The sequence below is a fragment of the Homo sapiens genome, chromosome 7 (assembly GCF_000001405.40).
Source record: "Homo sapiens chromosome 7, GRCh38.p14 Primary Assembly".
Classification (NCBI taxonomy): domain Eukaryota; kingdom Metazoa; phylum Chordata; class Mammalia; order Primates; family Hominidae; genus Homo; species Homo sapiens.
Window position 1 is genome coordinate 17,229,927 of NC_000007.14, and position 21,936 is coordinate 17,251,862.

Sequence of the window (21,936 nt, forward strand, 5' to 3'; positions counted from 1 at the left end):
TTTTTTTCCACTCTTTTGGCATTTGGGCATTATGGGCTCTGTCTTAACCCACCCCTTTAGTCTTAGCTTCTCTTACTGTTTTTAGGGGGTTATGCTCCTCTACTTCTAAGCCCTGCAGAATAGCATCCCTTCTTTGGTTTCCAGAAAAGTCATCACCATGACCATCATCATTATAACTAATGTGCTGTCTCATGTAATACTCATAACAACCTGATGAAGCAGGTACTATTATTTCCCCATTTTGCCTTGGTCAGTTGTAACTACATTTGAATGGCTGAAAATGTCTCATCGCAAGGATCTTTCTGGGCATAATGCCTTTGCCAGTGCTTGGAGACCTTGATAACATTCTTGGGTGTCTGGCTGTTACTTTCCACTGCTTGCTACATGACAGATATGAACTTAAAGTGTTCTAATAATAAAATCAACTTGGCTAGTGCAGGCTAAAATTTGGGGCTTAGGATAAGCCCAATTCAAGGCAGTGTTTCTAAACTCTAAAGGCAATCTTGGTCATCAGCTGCTACTCTGTTTCCATTAGTATATGTGACCTCACTAAAACCATCTATCTTCAAACTAGGTATAGACTTAGAGACAGTAAAACCAGGAACTTTTAACAAAAGGGTACCCTCCCCACCCCAATCAGTATTGTAGGTACCTGCCAATTTTGACAGCAACAAGTCAGGTCGGGTTGGGTAGTCCCTGAACAGAGCATGAATACATGTTATTTTTAGTTCTTAGAATACTATAATCATGTCCAGGAGCTGAGTGAACCACTGACCTTTCCTAAAGAGTTAAATTTACTGAGGAAAATTAGGAAAAGAGGGAAGAGGGGTGAAATTTGAAGTACAGATAAGGAAACTTAAGAGTCACTACATATCCTTGTTTGTCCCAGGGGGTATTCCAATCCAGAACTGTTCCTAACATGTCTAATAGTTATGATTAGTTGAAAAGCAGCCAGGGTCATAGAAGTTGGCCTGGAAATGGTGCTATGCAAGCTATCCCAAGTATTTTCCATCATTTTATTTCTTTGCTCAGATTTTCTATATTTTTATTTGTTTTAAGAGGATTTGTAATTGATTTTTGGTGTGTTTTATGACAGCTGCTTTAAAATCTTTGTCAGATATTCCAACATCTAATTTATCTTGTTATTATTGGCACCAGTGGATTGTCTTTCCTCATTCAGATTGTAGCTTGCCTGGTTCTTGATGAATGATTTTCTGTTACATCCTGGACATTTTAGTTCTTATGTTAGGAGACACTTGATCCTATTTACACCTTCTGTTTTAGCAGGCAGTTGTCCTGTTTAGGTTCTGCTTGTCAGGTCTGTCCTACTTTTATTGGCTTTAGTTCCAATGAAAGTTTAGTTTTCTGAGCTCTTGCAATGTTATTCTGGTTGAATGGTTCTTCATTTTTCGCATGCTGTTGGGCTTACTGCTCAATCAATGTTCTGGTGTCATCTGTGGAAGTGGAAGGTACTTCCTTGGGCTACCTACTGTCATTGGGCAACCTGGAGAGGGCCACTGAGGAACAGAGAAAAGCGAGGATATGCCATCTTGTTCCAGAATTGGGATCCAGCCCAGGTCATCAATCATCCCTCTAAGCGTTCTTGAGAGACTTGACTGCCAAATGAACAAGGATGTTGTCCAGAAAACACTCAGGTAGAAGAACATCTAGATGACAACTTTCAATAGAGTATTGTACTCCTTTTCTTAAAGTCAGCCTTCTATTTCTCAGTCTTACCTTGTGCTTTCTGTAAGGCTCCAGCTTTGTGAAAACCCAGGCTCCATGGAGTTGGCCAGGAGGCCTGCTACCAGGGGATTGGGTAGAAATTCCAAGCAGTAACTCCACTGAGGCCTTAGAATTCCTGGCACAGATAAGCTCTCTACTTTCTTCTCTTTGAAGAAAATGTTTATCCCATAGAGGAAATAGAGGGTGTTTTTTATTATTTACAAAACATTTTATTCCAAGATTACCTGTCTACACACCACTCAAAAACTACTTAGTATTCCCGATGCTTGTTCAAAGATCCTTCTATTCCCCAATTATATCTCAGCGTGATTTTTCTTCATTTTCTGGCCCTAATCCAGCACTTGACTCAATTGTGCTATTTCTGCCTTAGCTTTCTCAGTATGTCCTGGCATCTTTTTAGTGAGCGTGACTCCTTCTGTAGCTCCAGGTGTCTCAACATACTGCTCTAACAGCTTTGGCCAGGCAAGGTCCAAGTTGCTGATATAAGTTTACAGGTCCTCACACTAGTTCTGATTTCCTCTGCAGCAAGTCAAATAGTGCTGATACTTCAGATCTTACAGAAGTGGGGTAGTATAAATCTTGCTTCAAAATAAAATTTCTCGTATACTTCTGTCCCTGTTAATTCATGCTTATCCTTTATTCCTAGTGATAGGGCTTCTCAAAGACTTGGGTCCATAGCTTTGCGAGTACCCTGACAAAGAAACAGTAGGTGGAATGAGCAATTTATCTCATACGTCTTGGTTGATAGGCCTGTTGCAGAACTTCAGTAGTGATTGGCTAAGAAGCAGGCTAATTTTTTTTAAAATTTCAATAGCTTCTGTGATACTAGCGGTTTTTGGTTACATGAATGAATTGTATAGTGGTGAAGTCTGGGCTTTTAGTCTACCCATCAACTTGAATAGTGTACATGGTGCCCAACAGGTAATTTTTAAGAAACAGACATTGCAGCAGATATTTGTTGGTTCCATTGAGAGGTATTGGGACAATGAGAGAAAAAAAAAACACATCTTAATCTTTTCACCAGCTAATCCTGACATCAGATTTTGGGAGACTTTGTTATTGCTGTTCTTTGTTGAACAAATAACTCTTTAATTTACGTGCATCAGACTTATGTCACGATGACCTTTTGCTTCTTTATCCAATAAGGAATTTTGAGCACACTCTTTTCTACATGGCATTATAAGGCACACATATGCAATGTTTATTTACTATGTTACATTTTCTAGTGATGCATTATTTTAGATTTTTATCTAACAATTATCATAAGGTGCAAAATGGAAGATCTTTAACAAAAAGTTATAAACAACTACCATATGCCAGGGACTGTGTAAAATGCTGGAAATACAATGATGTTTTTTTGGAAATATGAATCTGGATCCCAGGAATTATGCAGTATAAAAAAAGAAAAAATACAGGCACACAGGATGAAACAGACAAAATATAGCATTATAAAGGCAACATCATAAATATGAACAGGAGTAGAGGTCCTACATAAGAACTGCTTTTAAGTCAGTGAAGACTCAAGACAGCAGGCGATATCTGAATTTTGTGTTGAGGATAAATAGGAATCAATCACATAGGAAGAGAGGGAAGACATTTCAGGCTTATTAAAGCCTATGCACCAAGTCACAGAGGTGTGGAAAAATAATACGAATTCAAAGCTACAAGTAACTAACTCTATGATGCTCAAGTACAAAGAAGAACAATGAGATGAGGCCACCAAGTGCTTTGCATCCCATAAGAAGCTTGGATTTTAATGTTCTAAAAAATAGGAGACCTATAATAAATTTTAAGGTAGAAAGAGATGACAAGATCAGACTTGCATTTTAGAAAAATCAGTGTGTATTACACATAATACTTAATACTTTTTAATAGTAAATTTAAATTTATGATCTTATTCAACCATATTGCCTCTTCAAAGAGAAGAAGAGCTATAATGTTATATAAATCTAAGCATAAAAAATATCAGGCATCCCATACCTCTCAGACAAGGCTTTATGTAAGAACAGCTGAGAGCTTCCTTCTGCCCTCATGAAACCATAAAGAGAAAATGTGTTATCTTAACAGGGAAAACTTTCTTTTACATTTTCTAGGAAGACTCACAGCCAAATGAAAACAGTATATTCCTGGAATGCCTTTAACTGTCTTGTCGTACCAGGACTTCTTGCTGAGAGAGTTCCTGCCCCCTGTAAACACAGAACATGCTTGTCTGTGCTTTTAACTTATATCCTGTATATGTCTTCCTGACAACTATCCATACAAGCGGCTTTCATTCCCTGTTTCCAGATGAGAATTGAACTCAATGCACATATTGAAAGGAAAGAAACCTAGGTTTTATATATGGAAATATCCACTCATGATTGGTGCCTTCTTATGGATACTTAATAGTACTGATATTTTTATGTTGCTTGATAAAAGATGATTGTCAAAAGAGATCCACACAGACAGTGGCTATAAGAGTGAAGCTGCACAGGTCCCTTTGTAGCAGTCAGTCTCTCTCCTACTCCCTGTCTCATCTCCTTCCCCTGCCACAAGGACCCAGAGAAGCAGGCAGGCTGGCAGTGTGATGACGGTATCTTACCCTGGCTCTGAGGTTGACACAGATTTCACAGGTCACTTCTATCACTGCAAAAGCACATTGGTCTGGAGTTTATGAAGAACATACAATTTCTGTTGGCATGTTAGGTACATTATATAAAATGCCCCGCATAAAGAAAGCAGTGTAGTTAAAAGCAAATGAAAGATAAAAAGAGTAACAACGTGGTTTCTCAGTATTTCATGGTACCGGTAGATATGACCTTCACAGACAAACCTAAATCTTTCTTATGTAACTGACATTTAGTCCGTTAGCCATTTTTAATAAAAGAGTAGAGAAGTTACTCTACTGCGGCTTTTGCTGGTACTTTTTATAGCCGTCGTGTGGTAGGAAGTAGGCCCCAAGTTCCCTTGGCAACAAGTAGAGTAGAAGCGATACACAGAAAACTGAGTCATCGGTGAATCATCTGAGGATTTCTGTTTCCAATCCTTGGAAATAATTTACCGATTGTTTTTTATTTGTGCAGTGTTTGCTGACTCTGAGTGGACACCTCAGAAACTGTAACATCTTTGGTCAATTTGGTCAATCGTTTAAGAAACATTCTGGATGCTCCAAGTAGACCTTAAGATTGATATCCAAACAAAACAAACCTCTGCTTGCTTTAAGATGACACTCACTCCCCATCTGAGGAGGAACAGATAAGTGAGTCAAGGTATTGGCAATGGGGAAGTCCCCTTTCTACAAAGAAATCTGATGTCCCCAGAAAAATGTTTCATGACATTGTCACATTTAAAATGTTAGTCACAACAAATTTTCAGACACCTAAAAAGAGAACAAATATGGTCTCATACATTTTCTCTCTCTCACTCTGTCTGAGACTTATGTTCATCAGTTACTCAATTCCCCCATTTTTTTTTTTACAAATACATCTCTTATATAATCCCTTTATCTCCACAATTGTTGCTTCTACCTTATATCAAGGTTTACCATTTCATTTATCTAGGCTCAGATTGTCCTTTACTTCATTGCGTGTACAAGGAGAAAGAAAAAACCTCCCCTAAAAATGCTTTTTGGCCAGGTGCGGTAGCTCAAACATGTAATCCCAGCACTTTGGGAGGCTGAGGTGGGTGGATCACCTGAGGTCAGAAGCTTGAGACCAGCATGGCCAACACGGCGAAACCCCATCTGTACTAAAAATGCAAAAATTAGCTGGGTGTAGTGTTGCACTCCTGTAATCCCAGCTACTCAGGAGGCTGAGACAGGAGAATCGCTTGAACCAGGATGTGGAGGTTGCAGTGAGCAGAGATCATGCCACTGCACTCCAGCCAAGGCAACAGAGTAAGACTCAGTCTTCAAATAAATAATTAAATAAATAAATAAATAAATAAATAAATAAAATAATGCTTTTCATCTGCCACCAGGGACCTAATCAAAACTCTTTAATAGTTCAATGGCTTCTTGAGGACCATGACTTATTTATTATTGTATCTGCAGCACCCATCATGGTGCCTGACCTACAGAATATGTTCAATATGTGTTTATTGAATGAATTATAATAATTGTGGTATTTTTGCTTATATGCACCCCCCCACCACACACACACACACACACACACACACACACGTTAAATCTAAAGCTTCTTGTGAGCAGAAGGCTTATCTTGTAAATTGTTGTATCCCTAGCTCCTCGAAGGGTGTCTGGTATGATACAAACATTCAATCATCATTTACTGAAATGGTGAATGAAATTCAAATGCTGGGCTTATACAAGTATATGGTATCCTCCCATACCTAGGTGAACTCGTTTCTCACCACTGCCTTCCTTCCTGTGAGGTGAGCCTTTGTACCATTCGAACTCCATGCAACTATTCCTACCAATTGCCTCATATGAACTACCTCACACAAACCACTGCCTACTTAAATTCTATCCTCCTTTAAGGCCCAACTGAAGTCACATTCTGTTCACAAATGAGACTTCTTGACTCCTTCAGCCCTCACAGATCTTCATGTCATCCAGACTCAGAGTACCTATGGCCTTTACTCAGATTTGTCCCTACAGACTCATTCTTCCATTGTTTGCCTCCTTTTAAATTCCTGGGTGATGTTATCTATTTCCTTCACTTTGGCATCTCTCACATGTTAATGCCACCACACTCCTTCATCTCGGGCCCTGATCTCAGAGCATCAAAACTCATTGTTTCGCAAGTCCTCAGGCTCAAAAATGTTAAGTGAGTTCATGTTTTTCGATTCTGAAGGTATGTTCATTGTATTGTTTTTGTCATAATGAGTCTTTTTGCCTTTAGCGTATATATGAAAATACTTGTGGATGAAACGATATGCTATCTCAAATTTATTTCAAAATAACGTGGGAGGAGATAAAATAAAGTGGGTATATTATTCTATCTCTTATTATATGTGCTTGAACTTTTTCATAAGTTTTTAAAAACTTTTGTTTTCCTCAATCATCACCTTCCATCACTTTGAACCTGCTCTTCTTTTGCTTAAATGCATCACTGTCCCCTGCATCCCAACTTTCTGGGACACTCACCAGGGGAAAACAGAGATTGACATGTGAAGCTGAGTCAATTCAGTTGCTCATGACATAAGTGGTTGAGTAGAAGATACTGGTGCCAAGCCAAACATTTTTTTTTATTTTTTTGAAACAAAGGGACCATCTATATTTTTTAAAGAAAAATAAGAGAGCTGAGTTATCCTGCCACCCCACAATGTTTCCAACTTTGTGACTCTCTAAAAAGAAGACAAGAGAACATCCCAAATCCACGGTTCTGTTGTTTCCTTTTGTGAACCACCTTTCCCTTTTCTCATCTACTTAGAAACCATCTACTGAAGCTTTGAGATTCTGCTCAACCATCATCCTGTCTGTTGTATTCCTGAATCTCTGTCTCCCATAGGCAGAATCAAATACTTTTTCATTGAAATTCCTACAGGACATTATACCCACTTGCTTTTTTAGTACTCACTGTGGAATATAAGTTATTAGTTTACATGTGTTCGGCATTGTGCTGATGTGGATGGAGAACTAACTTAGGTCATCTCCCCAAAACTCTAACCTCTGAGTTTTCCTCTCCCTCCTTTCCTCTCCTTCATACCCCAATTAGCATAGTGTATTGGAAAAAGTGGATGTTCAATGAAAGTTTGAAATGAATCAGACAGAATCTAATTTCTTCATATTTGTTGCTCCTTTTTTCTCCTAATATTCATACATCAAGTCTTCTTTCCTAATCTCCCCAACCCAAAAGGGCTCCTTCTTCTGAACTCACAATTTTTTTTTTTTTTTGAGATAATGTCTTGCTCTCTTGCCCAGTGGGGAGTGCAGAGGCACAATCTCGGCTCACTGCGACATCCGCCTCCCAGTTCAAGCGATTCTTGTGCCTCAGACTCCTGAGTAGCTGGGATTACAGGCATGTGCTCTCAGACCCGGCTAATTTTTGTAATTTTAGTTGAAACAGGGTTTTGCCATGTTGATTAGGTTGGTCTCGAACTCCCGCCTCAAGTGATCCGCCCACCTTGGCCTCCCAAAGTTCTGTGATTACAGCATGAGCCACTGCGCCCAGCCCACAATTTTTTTTTCCCTTCATAGCACAAATGTCATAATCTGCTTTGATTTTGGTGTGATGTATCCCATCTCCTTTCTTGTCCAAGACTTTTGAGAACAGTGATCATGCCTTTTCCTCCTGCTACTTTCTATACTTCTTGAGTGCACTTGATAAATTTGTTGAATTGAATATTTGAGTGTAAAAGAAATGAGGAGAATCTCTCTTTCTTATATGAGATCAGCAGTACCAAAGACTTGAAATCCAAGATCTCTCTAAATGATTTCATGAGCTCCATTATTCACTGAGGGAATAAAGAGGTCTGTGTAGGCTACCACACTTGACAACATGAGTACTCATGCAGTTCTTTAAGGTTTTCAGAATTATGCAACAGACTTGAACCATTTCATTACTTAATTCTCACAAAAACACAATAATTAAGGACTTGTATCTCCATTTTAGAGTTGAAGAAACAAGTTACATTAGTAGCAGTTTCAGAGACAGAGTTAAGAATTTTATCCCAAGCCTTTTTGTGAATCCAACTCCATTGTCTCCTCACTCCTAGATGCCTGTGTATAAATGAGAATGGGCTTAGCCCGTCTAATACTTCTCACCCATTACAGGTAATTTAAAGAAGCATTATAGCAAAGGGAGTTAGGAAAAATCTTCTGAAACCAGATTGTGTTCAAATTCTGGTTCTGCCTAGCTGTACGACCCAGGACAAGCCAATAATCACTCTAAAGAGGGGGCAAAAAATTACTTCAATCGCCAGTACTCTGCACTATATGTAATGGTTTGCTTTTATTACTACTTTGAATATTTTTTTAAAGAGTAGAGCATATGCAATATATTTTGTATAATGGGAAAGGAAGAAGTATTTAGTAGCTTTTTGAGATCAATTTTTGAGACTAGTTCTAAGATATTTATGGCATTCACATCTAAAATCCCTTTCATATTCTCTACAACCTTTCCAAACATACTTAGTTTGCAAAATCAGATTGGAAATTATACAGGAATAGTTTTTCTCATAGTATTTCAGTACTTTCAGTTCCATTCCAGCTGGAGTCTAAAATATCATAGGATGCAGAAATGTAAAATTATGTGAAAACAAAATAATCCAAATGTATTTTTTATCCATTTTCAAAAAACATGTTTTTAGTTCACATGTGGAATAAACATAAATTATGCTATTTATTTGATATTATTGGAATATGAATTAATCATCTCAATAACTGGGCAACACACTGAGCACTATGCTGATGTCTGGTTGTGAAATAAAACTAGCAAAGTTATAAACATGGATATAGAATTTATTTAATCATTGAGTCTATAAATATCTATCTCATATGAGAGGTGGTGCTATAGAAAAAGCACACCTTTTAAAAGTACTCCACATGGGGCTTATACCTCCTGGTATAAGGAGAAATAAAATAAGTGAGTAATCACATCCTTTATGATGGATGCTGTGGAAGGAATGCACAGAGTGATATGAGCTGCTAGACTGGGAAGCAGAAGGGTGACTTTACATAGGGCTAATTTGGAAAGCAGCAAGAGGGAGTGGAAAAGACGAGGCAGAGACAGAGGTCTTATGATGGTGACCCTTGAGGCCATTTCACAGAATTTGGTGACACTGTATTATGAAAAAATAAAGAAATATCAACCATAGAGAGATGAATTACCAACAGTATTGGGTTTTCTTTTTTCATTTTCATGCTCACTCTACGTATATTTTTGTTCCTATCAGTAAAATTCTTCGTTTGGTTCAAATGTAGTTAAAATAGCTTAGACAAAGGTCAACATTGTCCAAGATTCACGTGGTTGTATGTCCCTTTTTTTCCTTTTGGCATAAAAGTGCTACTCATATTAAAAATTTTTGAATAAATAACAGAAATTAAAAATAAAATAAAGGTCACCCACAATCCCAAAACCTAAAAGTGAATGTTATTAATATGTTGGTCTATTCCTGAAGCAGGTTTGTTTCCAAAGTCCTGTTTGCGGTTATCTCACCTTTGTGAAATGAGGTTAAATAAAGCAGGCAGCAGATTCAGTTTAGAAAAAAGACAAGTGGCAGCAGAGGTCATACTGATACTCAGAGTTCAGATAGTAACAGGCATGCTTTGGCTTAAAAGTTACAATTCATCAGCAAAAAATGTTGTGGTCAGAACAGTATTGCCAGAGAAGTGTTTTGATTTCAAATATTGCTAAATCTTATCTCTCTGAGTAGTTGTGTCAATAAGAGATAAGGTCCTGCCTCACTTTGGAAGTAATAGCTTTAAGAGAAAGAGACCCTCAAGGAATGAGCCTTGTTCTGATGGGCAGAGGCTCCCGTGATGGGTGGTGATGCTTTTGGCCCTGACAGGGTCCCAGCTGGGCCCCAGTCCATAACAAGGCCATGGCAGGGAATATTATTCATTCATATCATTTGAGACCCAGTTTTTCATAACGATCAACATCATATTTCCTCTACCTTCTCTCTCTCCAACTCTCAGACTTAGAAGCCTATAGGTTATAACCTGCTTTTTGAGGCAGTACTGAACTTACAGACCTTAGAACCACCCTCCACTAGACAGTGTGAGACTTGTGCTTCAGGGGCTCAGAACACACAACATGTTCGTCACTTCAACCCTAAGAACAAGCAAAGACATTGAAAACAAAGTACCAGCAGACGCCAAGTCTTTTAACAAGAGGAGTCTATCCATAGCCACTCAAATAAGAATACGCTGATTTGAAGAATCTTCTGCTGGGAACCGGGGATGGGAAATTAGAGGTAGAGATGATTAGACCACTCTTAACTGTTCTCTCATTTTTTCATTTTACACAATAATGAGACTTTTCCCTTTTGCAGCTCCTAGTGTCAAAGAACTGATTAGACTGAATGATGAACATAGGCTAGGGGAAATTAAAGTACATTGATTTTATCTCAGGAATCACTTGGAAATTATTTCTTCCAAGTATGTATGTATGTGTGTGTATATATATATCTTCAAAATTATATATAGTATATAATATATAATCCAAGTATATATATGCATATATATGTACATATATATTCTATATATTTATCTATTAGTGTGGGTGTGCATTCATTATTGTAAATAACAATTCTGTATCTTTTTCATTAAACATAAGCATCTCTCCATGTCATAAATTAATCCCCAAAAACACCTTATTGAATGACTAATAATCTATCATCCAGATATATCATAGTTTGTTTAATAAAAAGTACCCTATTGCCGAACTTTCAGTTGGCTTTCAATGTTATAAATGATACTATAATGAACATCCTAGAATATTTATCTTTTTCTAGTCACTATTGGTTTTTTAGATTAAAATCCTAAGATACAGATCCAGTATGATCAATCATTTGTAGATTTGTTAAGTTTCTTGACCTGTATTGTCAAATTGCTCTTCTCACTAAACCCAGCAGCATTAACGATCTTTTAAAAAATATTTACTGGCGTTACTTTTAATAAAATTTAAGGTATCAGTCAGAGTCACTTTTTATTTTCCTATTTCTCTTTATTTCTATCTTCTTAGGAGGTAGGGAGACCAAAATAAGACTTGCAAAAAATTATTAACCACAGCTAAAACACACACACACACACACACACACACACACACACACACGCACACGCACACACACACACACATGAGCACGTAGTTAAAAAAAGGCACACAAGGTTGGTCTATGTGTTTATTTTTCAGAAACATTGTTTTCTTAGGACCATTCCAGTGACCTTGGTTAATACGGCTTTTGAATCCCGCATGGCCAACTTTGACTATTTTCAAGTAGAGAAATTCCTAGAACTTATTTGGATACTAATACACTTGAAACAATATGAACCATGGGTTAACATTATGCATTTAAACTACGCAGAAGAGGTCAGGCATGGTGGCTCACACCTGTAATCCCAGCACTTTGGGAGGCTGAGGCAGGAGGATCACCTAAGGTTAGGAGTTTGAGACCAGCCTGGCCAACATGGCAAAACCCCATTTCTAGTGAAAAAATAAAAATAAAAAAAGCAAAAATTAGCCGGGCGTGGTGGCGGGCACCTGTAATCCCAGCTACTCGGTAGGCTGAGTCAGGAGAATTGCCTGAACCTGGGAGGCGGAGGTTACAGTGAGCTGAGATCATGCCATTGCACTCCAGCCTAGGTGACAGAGCAAGAGACACCGTCTCATAAATAAATAAATAATAAATTACAAAGCAGAATGTCAGAATAGTTTGACTCAGGGAATAATGTAGAAATAGCATGGTTTAAACATTTAGATTTACAATCTACATTGTGCTTGTTTCATTTAACTATTTCTAAGTGAAAATAATTTATCCTTTGAAATATTTTAGAAACATTTCGTTTTACTAAAATATGTAATAAATTAAAACTTCATTTTGTGGGATTCAGCTGAACTGGTAAAACAAGTTCTTTTCTATAGCGGTCAAATCAGGCGCTGTTTTACTTCTAACAACATGTTATCTTTTTCATATTTGTCATTTCCTTTGTGGAAATTGTAAAAGAGATTGACCAACTTTTCCCCATAATGCTCATTTTCCTCACTACCTACCTATAATTTATCTATTTTTATACATCCTTCTTATTTAAAATTTAAATATTACAAACAAGGCCACCGTACCTTTGACAATAATCCTAAATTCCAATCCCCCTTCACAGAGCCAATAATTGCTACCAGGTTAATGTGGATACTTCTACACTTTTTGTTCTATGAATTTGTAACAATCAATAGTTAACAATGAAAATATATAGTGTTGTTTTGTGTTCCTCTTTTATATAAATGGTATAATAATACACTTACCGTGAGACCAGAAATCTAATTGTTTTTCCTTAACAGTGCCTTCTTTCTTTTAACTGCTGCATTATATCCTATATTGCATCATCTAGCAATCTCTCTATACATAGACATTTAATTCTCTTCCAGTTCTTGGCTGTTAGAAATAAGACGGTGCAATGAACAAGCTTGTACATGCCTCTTTTTGCACCTAAGCAAGTAGCTCTAAGCAAAAATAATGCAAATTAGAAATTCTGGGCCATAAGTTATGAATATTTGTATTTTAATAAATATTCTACAAAATTAATTTCAAAATGGTTGTACCATTTTAGTTCGCGTCAGTTGATTATGAGAGTACCCATTTTCCAATACTTTAGAATAAACTCGATTTTGTTAAGTCTTTTATTTTTTTCTAATTTAAACAGTTGAAAACAAGTGATGCTGGACATCTTTGAATACGTTTATTGGTCAATTATATTTACTCTTTTGTAAATGGCTGTTTTATTTTCTTTGCTTTTTTTTATCTCATTGTATGTGTATTTTTATTTCTCTCTGGAAGGTCACGTGTATTCTGGCTACTAATCCTTTGTCTATTATATATGTTGTAAAATTTTCTTCTACTGGTTTAAAAAATTTTGTTATGTTTTACTATCATGAGTTTTAAATTTTGATGAACTTGAACTGCTTAATTTATTATTCTGTGTCTTTCTATTTTTTTAATTAAAATACCTTCTTAAACTTAACATCAAAAAGACATTGCAATATAGTATAATACTTTTATGGCATTATATTTATGCTTAGATGATAACTATCTGAAATTTGTTTTTATGAATAAGAACTATGTATTTCTAAATAAGTAGATAATTCTTCCAAGAACTTACATTAAGTAATATACTTTACCCATTTAAAATGCCACTTTTATCATTGAGTAAATAATCATATATATTTTAGTTCATTCTTAGATTCCTAGCCCACTCCTTTGATCTAGTTTTCAATTCCTGTCCCAGCACTACATTATTTTGATTAGTATAATTCTATAACATGTTTGATACATATTAGGCATATTTTTAGTTTTCTCCTATAGATTTATTTTTATTATTTTTACATATTCTCTCTTCTTTATGGATTTTAGAATAAGTTTTACATTTCCATAACACATCCTCTTAGTTCGTGTTAGTACTGTACTAAGTTCATAGACTATTTTGTAGAGAACAGACATCTTTTTTTTAAATTTTATTATTATTATACTTTAAGTTTTAGGGTACATGTGCACAATGTGCAGGTTAGTTACATATGTATACATGTGCCATGCTGGTGTGCTGCACCCATTAACTCGTCATTTAACATTAGGTATATCTCCTAATGCTATCCATCCCCCCTCCCCCCACCCGACAACAGTCCCCAGAGTGTGATGTTCCCCTTCCTGTGTCCATGTGTTCTCATTGTTCAATTCCCACCTATGAGTGAGAACAGGCGGTGTTTGGTTTTTTGTCCTTGTGATAGTTTACTGAGAATGATGATTTCCAGTTTCATCCATGTCCCTACAAAGGACATGAACTCATCATTTTTTACGGCCGCATAGTATTCCATGGTGTATATGTGCCACATTTTCTTAATCCAGTCTATCATTGTTGGACATTTGGGTTGGTTCCAAGTCTTTGCTATTGTGAATAATGCCGCAATAAACATACGTGTGCATGTGTCTTTATAGCAGCATGATTTATAATCCTTTGGGTATATACCCAGTAATGGGATGGCTGGGTCAAATGGTATTTCTAGTTCTAGATCCCTGAGGAATCGCCACACTGACTTCCACAATGGTTGAACTACTTTACAGTCCCACCAACAGTGTAAAAGTGTTACTATTTCTCCACGTCCTCTCCAGCACCTGTTGTTTCCTGACTTTTTAATGATCGCCATTCTAACTGGTGTGAGATGGTATCTCATTGTGGTTTTGATTTGCATTTCTCTGATGGCCAGTGATGGTGAGCATTTTTTCATGTGTTTTTTGGCTGCATAAATGTCTTCTTTTGAGAAGTGTCTGAGAACAGACATCTTAAAAGTATTGAAACTTCCCATTCACGAACAAAATTGTTTTCCTCACTTATTTAGGTTTTCTTTTATGCCCTTCAGTAAAGTCTTGTCAGGATTGTTCCTAAGTATTTGATATGATGATTATAAATAAACCTCTTGTTCTTATTTTATTTTCTAACTGACTCCTATTGTTGTGAATAAAAGCTATAGTTTATTTTATGTTGAGCATATACTTAGCTATTTTGATTAAACTTTCTTACTGGCTTTAAAATTTGTCACTTTGGGGTTATCAGGTAAATTCTTATCTGCAAATTGTGAAAATGTTGTAACTCCCTTTCCAATATTTGAAATGTTTTCCTTATTTTATTACATTAGCAGGGACCTTGAGTTAAAAGTTAAACAGTTGTCTTCTAGTCAACAATGGGCCTGCTTCTAATATCTCACTATTAAGGATAGTGCTTATTCTCGGTAGATTCTTTTATGAAGACAAAGAAGTTACCTTATATTTCTTTATTTTACAAAAGTTTTTTAATTATTATAAACATATTTCCTTCAGAATGCTTTTCCGAAATCAAGTGAGATGATTGGATTTCCCTCCCTAAATATATTAATGTAGTGAATTCCATAAAAAGATTTCTAATGTTGAGCCATCTTTATGTTCCCAAGATAAATCCATACTTCATTATGCTATTATTTTTAATTGCTGTTTTCAATGTGTTACCATTTTATTATACATTTTGTATCCATAGTAATCCTGTTTAAGATAGAAACTTTTATGCAGTGGCTTATGCCTGTAATCCCAGCACTTTGGGATTGAGCCCAGGAGTTGGAGACCAGCCTGGGCAACATGGCAAAACCCCATCTTTACAAAAAATATACAAAAATTAGCCAGGCATGGTGGCGCATGCCTATGGTCCCAGCTACTTGAAAGGCGGAGGTGGGAGGATTCCTTGAGCCTGGGAGGCCGAGGCTGCAGGGAGCTCTGATTGTGCCACTGCACTCTCCATCCTGGGTGACGGAGTGAGACACTGTCTCACACCAAAACAATAACAACAAAAAAATACTTGCTCATAAAAAAATCTGAGTCTGGAACCTTAGTGGGGGCTGAGAGGTAGGGAAAATCATTACTTTATGACCACTTCAATGTCTATTATTTTTTCTCTATTTAGATTTTCCTGTTCTTTTGGAAGTTTAATCAAATTAGCCAAATATAGGCTCAACATATAATAAACTGTGGCTTTTATTCACATCAATAACAGCCAGTTAGAAAATAAAATATATACCTCTGTGTCTGTTACTACTTTTTCATTATTTAGGTTTTTCAGTTCTTCTTTTGCCAATTTTAGTAGTTTTGAAATATATAGAGATATTCCTCTTATTTATTAATTTTTAAGATCCATACTTTATTTTGTCTTAATCCTAATTTTCAAAGGTTGATTTATTTTATATGACCTATTAATGAATTCATTTTTTCCAAATTATTTCAATGAATAGTTTCATTTATTCATTAATTGTTATATTTACCTTTCTTCATTCCTTTCTTGGATTTATTTTTGTTCTTTTTTTTAGATTGTTAGAATGATTGCTTAGTTCTTTTGTTTTTAACCTAAGTTTTTTTTTTTTCTTTTTTTGAGACAGAGTCTCGCTCTGTTACCCAGACTACAGTGCAGTGGCGCGATCTCAGCTCACTGCAGACTTTGCCTCCCGGGTTCAAGCAATTCTCTGCCTCAGCCTCTTGAGTAGCTGGGATTACAGGCGCCCGCCATCACGCCCGGCTAATTTTTGTATTTTAGTAGAGACGGCCAGGCTGGTCTTGGACTCCTGATCTCGTGATCCACCCACCTCAGCCTCCCAAAGTGCTGCGATTACAGGCGTGAACCACCGCACACAGCCCTAAGTTTTTAATAAATGCATTTAAGATGACAAAATTTCCTAAGTATTCCTTTGGCTACATATCACAGGTTTTGAGAAATGTATTATGATATATATATACAGATAGATATATAGATACAGATAGATATAAGCTTTCATCCACAGTTCCTGGCTTATAATTCCCATAGCCCTTGTTTTTTCCTAACTGATTAAACAATGAGCATATATTTTATTAAAGTATTTGGCCTTTGTTCTTGGTTCCTGAAGCAGCTTCAGAATAGTTTCAGAGCAATAACGGTAAAAGATAGTATCTTGTTGTAATGTTGGGGCACTTTAGGCCTCAGAAACAGGCCTCAGAAAACAGAATATCTCTCTCTGACCCTCTCACTCCCTCCTTTCACCTTCTCCTTTTTCTCCCCAAGACAAGCCGCAGAAACTAAAATCTACTCTAATTTCCCCCAACCTTTCTGTCTTAGAGCTGGCCATAAAGAAATTCTCTGACCTACCTTGTCTGATTGTAGGTCATAAGACCCTCATTTCAGAAGAGGTCCTGCCCATACCTGGAAGGGATGCTACACAGTGAGACCAAGAAGACTGAACAGAGAGGCCTTTCTGGGTTTCCCCTCTGAGTCTATTAGCATCAGCTGTATCCCTTTTGTTCCATCACATTTCTACATGGTTGCTCAGTCTTCAATCGTGCCCATTCAGTGAAATCTCCATAAGACGCCCAAAGAGGATGGGGTACAGAGAGCTTGGACAGCTGAACACAAAGAGACTTACAGGAAAGTGAACAAGACTCATCTACAGTAGGGTGGGAGCACCCTAACTCCATGCGAATGGAAGCTCCTGCACTTGGTACCTTTTCAAACCTCGCACTATGAATTTCTTTATCTGGCTTTTTATTTATATCCTTTAAAATATCTTTTATAATAAATGGATAAATGTGTTTCCCTGAGTTTTGTGAGCTGCTCTAGCAAATTGACTACGCTTAAAGAGGGGGTTGTGGGAACCCCAACCGGAAGCTGGTAGATCAGAAGTTCAGAGGCCTGGACTTGCGACTGGTGTCTGACGCGGGGCAGTCTTGTGGGAACTGACACTATCTCCTGGAAGATGACATAAGAATTGAATTGGATTAGAAGACGCCCAGCTGGTGTCCACTACAGAACTGATTGCTTGCTTGTTGGTTGGGAGAAATCTCCACACATTGGGTAAAAGAAGTTTGCTGTGTTGATTGCTGTGGTGTAAGAGCAGAAGAAAAAGTTATTTTCTACACAGTATGTAATGGTCTTATTTTGAATCTATTCTAAACATACTTTTTGCAATCTTTGCTAACATAAAAATTTACATTTTCTTTACTTATTTAATTTGCTATATAGCCTTATTATCCTTTGTATTCCTTGGATACTCAGTGGAGATGAAATGTTTATTCTCTGAAAATAGAAAAGCCATGTAGACTACAGAGATCATACTGGGTGACTAGAGATTGAATAGTGCACAATATTTCAATCCTATAAACATGGATCCTTAACGTGTGACCTGGAGAAAATATTATCCATGTAATGTCCTCTAGTCTTCCAAAAAGACTTAACACTCCCTTGAGAAGGAGAACAACAATAATCAGTTGAGACTGGAACTCAACAAGCAGGCTCACATTATTAATATTTTTATTTCTAGGCTCTAGAAAAAAGGCTGCTTCTAATTATACTCAAGGTCCAATCCATTGTAATTTTTTTAAAAAATATTAACAGTTCCCCCTTGTAGCCTTGGTCAAACATTAAGCCCTAAATTGGTAAGGATGTCTATTGGACTGAAAAAGATATTTCTCAGTGTCTGGGAAAGGAAGAATTGGTCAGATGGTGTGAAGTTCAACTGTGGAACTCATAATCTCTGGCAAATTATGCTGCTTCTAACAAAAACATTCATGCACACTCATATCCTTTCTTACACCAACTTAATACAGAATTCTGCTAATTTAACTAAGGTAAATGTTTCACACAAAACCCAATTTTGCAGACATTTTATTTTTCTTTTATGTTTTGATTGTCACCTTTCAGCTCAAAGGGTTTTAGGGAGCTAGAAACTCTATTTTTGCAGTGTACAGACTTTCCGTTTCTCCTTTTCATTCACATTTCTAAAGATGATTGGTTATGAATTTAATCTTGTTAACACCATGACCTTTTCACCACCAAGTTTTAAGAATTACCTGTTAGACCACTGTATGATACCACTAGCAAGTAAAGTACTGGGGATATATGAAGTTATCAGGCAGAGCAGTATTTGTTCCCTATCAATGTGTATCTAACAAAACATTACACAGAATACTTTCTGCCTGCTTTAAAACATTTCGATTAATTTTCTTTTTTGTTCTAAGATGAATAATATTTACATTTCAATTAAAATTTAACTAAATTTGGCAAGCCATGGGGAGTTCAAAAGTTTGTGAAGGTCCAGAAACCTTAATATTTTATTTGAATTGAATACTCACTTTTTAACCTTAGCCATAAAGCTATATTGGTCTGTTTCCCACTTAGAACTCATCAATTCTTGTACATTATTCAGTAATTGGTCAAGTACCTGTGACCCAGGAGTTGCTGATGTGACATTGTCCTTAAAGAAATAATATTTTGCAAATAATTCATGATACCTGTAAAGAACTTTTGGGGTCCTAAGTGGTGGAGACAGATTGTGACTGTATTTACTGATTTTTACTAGAAAGTTGCTCAACTCACTACTTAACCCTTGCCTAAATGGTTGTGTGTTAGCATATACAAATTAAGTGTACATATCAGATCTAATTTGTAAGTTTTATTGGTTATTATAAAAAAAAAAAAAACCTTTCATTTTGGCCGGGTGTGGTGGCTCATGCCTGTAATCCCAGCACTTTGGGAGGCCGAGGTGGGCAGATCACGAGGGCAAGAGATCGAGACCATCCTGGCCAACATGGTGAAACCTTGTCTCTACTAAAAATACAAAAAACATTAGCTGGGCATGGTGGCAAGGGCCTGTAGTCCCAGCTACTGGAGAGGCTGAGGCAGGAGAATCGCTTGAACCTGGGAGTCGGAGGTTGCAGTGAGCCGAGATCACTCCACTGCACTCTAGCCTGGGCAACAGAGCGAGACTCCATCTCAAAAAAAAAAAAAAGAAAAAAAAAACCTTTCGTTTTAAGAGTAAATCTTAGAACTAATAGCAATCAACTGCCAAATAATAAAACCTTGTTAATAAAATATTAACAAATCGAAGGAAAAACTCTGAGGTTTTTATTAAAAATTGTATACTTGTATCTACCTTTATTCTTTTAAAGAGAAACAGAAAGCCTTGTCTTTGATTTTTAATTAGTAAATATGATGAATTTGTATTAAGTGAAAGAGGTTTTTAATTTCTACTTGTGTAAAACATTTACCTCCCTTAAATTATAGTCATGAAAATGAAGACAAAAATCAAAATACAGTCTCTGCCATCAAAGTCAAAGAACATGATCTTTTTTTATCTCCAGGTTAATTTTTAGTGTGAAAGCAAACTATCGTAAGCACAATCACATCCTCTTATAATGGTGAAATTCACCTTGTTTTGAGGAGAAAGGTTGCTGTGGAACTTCTTTTGAGAATTGTCTATTCATGTCGTTAGCCCACTTCTTTATGGGATTGTTTTTTTCTTGTTAATTGGTTTGAGTTCCTTGTAGATTCTGAATATTAATCCTTTGTCTAATGCATAGTTTGTGAAAATTCTCTCCCACTCTGTGGGTTGTCTGTTTACTTTGCTGATTATTTCTTTTGCCATGCAGAAGCTTTTTAGTTTAATTAAGTCCCATCCATTTATCTTTGTTTTTGTTGTGTTTGCTTTTGGGTTCTTGGTCATGAACTCTTTGCCTAAGCCAATTGTCTAGAAGAGTTTTTCGATGTTATCTTCTAGAATCTTTATGGTTTCAGGTCTTAGATTTAAGTCTTTGATCCACCTTGAGTTGATTTTTGTATAAAGTGAGAGATAAGGATCCAGTTTCTTTCTTCTACATATGGCTTGCCAATTAATCCACACCATTTGAACATTTGAATCGGGTGTCCTTTCCCCACTTTACTTTTTTTTTTTTTTTTTTTGCTTTGTCGAAGATCAGTTGGCTGTAAGTATTTGGCTTTATTTCTGGGTTCTCTATTCTCTTCCATTGGTCTATGTGCCTAGTTTTATACCTTTCCATGTTCTTTACACAGTAGATTGTATTTTGATTCTTATGGTTATTAAACACAGAGCCTATAGCTACTTGGCTGTTGTTTGTTTGTCTAGACACAGGGTCTTGCTGTATTGTCCAGACTGGAGTGCAGTGGCACAGTCATAGCTCACTACAGCCTTAACCTCCCAGGCTCAAGTGATCCTCCCACCTCAGTTTCCCAAGTGAGTAGCTGGGACTACAGGTGCACGCCACCACACCCAGCTAATTAAAATAATTTTTTAGTAGACATGGGGGTCTTCCCTTATTGCCCAGACTGGTCTCAAACTCCTGGCTTAAAGTGGCCTTCCTGCCTTGGCCTCCCAAAGTGCTGGGACTACAGGTGTGAGCCACCATGCCTGACCAAGCCTGCAGCTACTTGTAACCCAGTCCTGTAAATGCTCAATGGTCCTGGTCTTTGCTCTTTGGCTATGGCTGCTTGCCAGCTAGTTTATAAGCTGCATTGGCTTCTCGGCTCAATACATTTATCTTACAAACTCATTCTAGAGCATAAAAAAGGTATATATTTTTTCTACCTACATACTTATGGCTATCAGCTCACTAATCCAGCTCAATTATCTAGATATCTTGTTGGTATGCATTTATTACCCATGGCCACCTGATCCAAAGTGCTGATGTATTTAGTATCTCTTCAATGATAAATTAATTTTATGTATAGCAAAGACTAGTTTATCCCCTAATTTGATTAAGCGATAGAAAATCAATTAATGACAAGCCATTCACTTACTCTGGTAACCTTAAAAGTCAGTCAACATGCATGTTCTATGTTCTTATTGAATTTAAGGTATTATCTCCGGGAAATTATCTGAATTGCCAAATTCACCTAGAATTGCTAGAATTAGGCAAACTTATGTTATTACATGTTTCCTTCCTGTGTATTTTTCCTTCCTGCCCCCTCTCTTTTATTCTTTTTCTCATTTCATCTTTTGAATACAAAGTAAATAATGATTACATTCCATTTACATGGTCACAAGAAAAATATCTAAATTTCATCTATATACTTGGAAACACATCACTACCAGTCATAAAATGGGAGCTAATATTCATTGTATGTGCTAATTGCTCTACATGTGCTATTTCATGGCCATTCTAGGAGGAATGAATACTATCATTATGAGTCCTGTTTTGCAAATTGGCATAGAGAGGTTAATTAGAGTACCCAAGGTCATACAGATAGTAATAGTGACATCA

At 36.7% G+C, this 21,936-nt stretch overlaps 1 long non-coding RNA gene across 2 annotated transcripts in view, besides 3 other annotated features; it reads right to left on the reverse strand.

The window, feature by feature from the left end:
* LOC101927609 (uncharacterized) overlaps window positions 1–21,936 on the reverse strand; it is a 164,409-nt gene that overhangs the window by 95,015 nt on the left and 47,458 nt on the right. The window lies entirely within an intron of this gene.
* Window positions 4,181–5,380: an enhancer, noted in NCBI's record as "P300/CBP strongly-dependent group 1 enhancer chr7:17273731-17274930 (GRCh37/hg19 assembly coordinates)". NCBI's record gives its function as "activates an origin of replication core promoter dependent on BRD2, BRD4, P300/CBP, MED14 and CDK7 cofactors, with strong dependence on P300/CBP, by STARR-seq in HCT116 cells {active_cell/tissue: HCT116}" and the evidence as "EXISTENCE:reporter gene assay evidence [ECO:0000049][PMID:35650434]".
* Window positions 4,486–4,535: an enhancer, noted in NCBI's record as "active region_25673". NCBI's record gives its function as "activates an Ori minimal core promoter by ATAC-STARR-seq in GM12878 lymphoblastoid cells {active_cell/tissue: GM12878}" and the evidence as "EXISTENCE:reporter gene assay evidence [ECO:0000049][PMID:35858748]".
* Window positions 4,686–4,945: an enhancer, noted in NCBI's record as "active region_25674". NCBI's record gives its function as "activates an Ori minimal core promoter by ATAC-STARR-seq in GM12878 lymphoblastoid cells {active_cell/tissue: GM12878}" and the evidence as "EXISTENCE:reporter gene assay evidence [ECO:0000049][PMID:35858748]".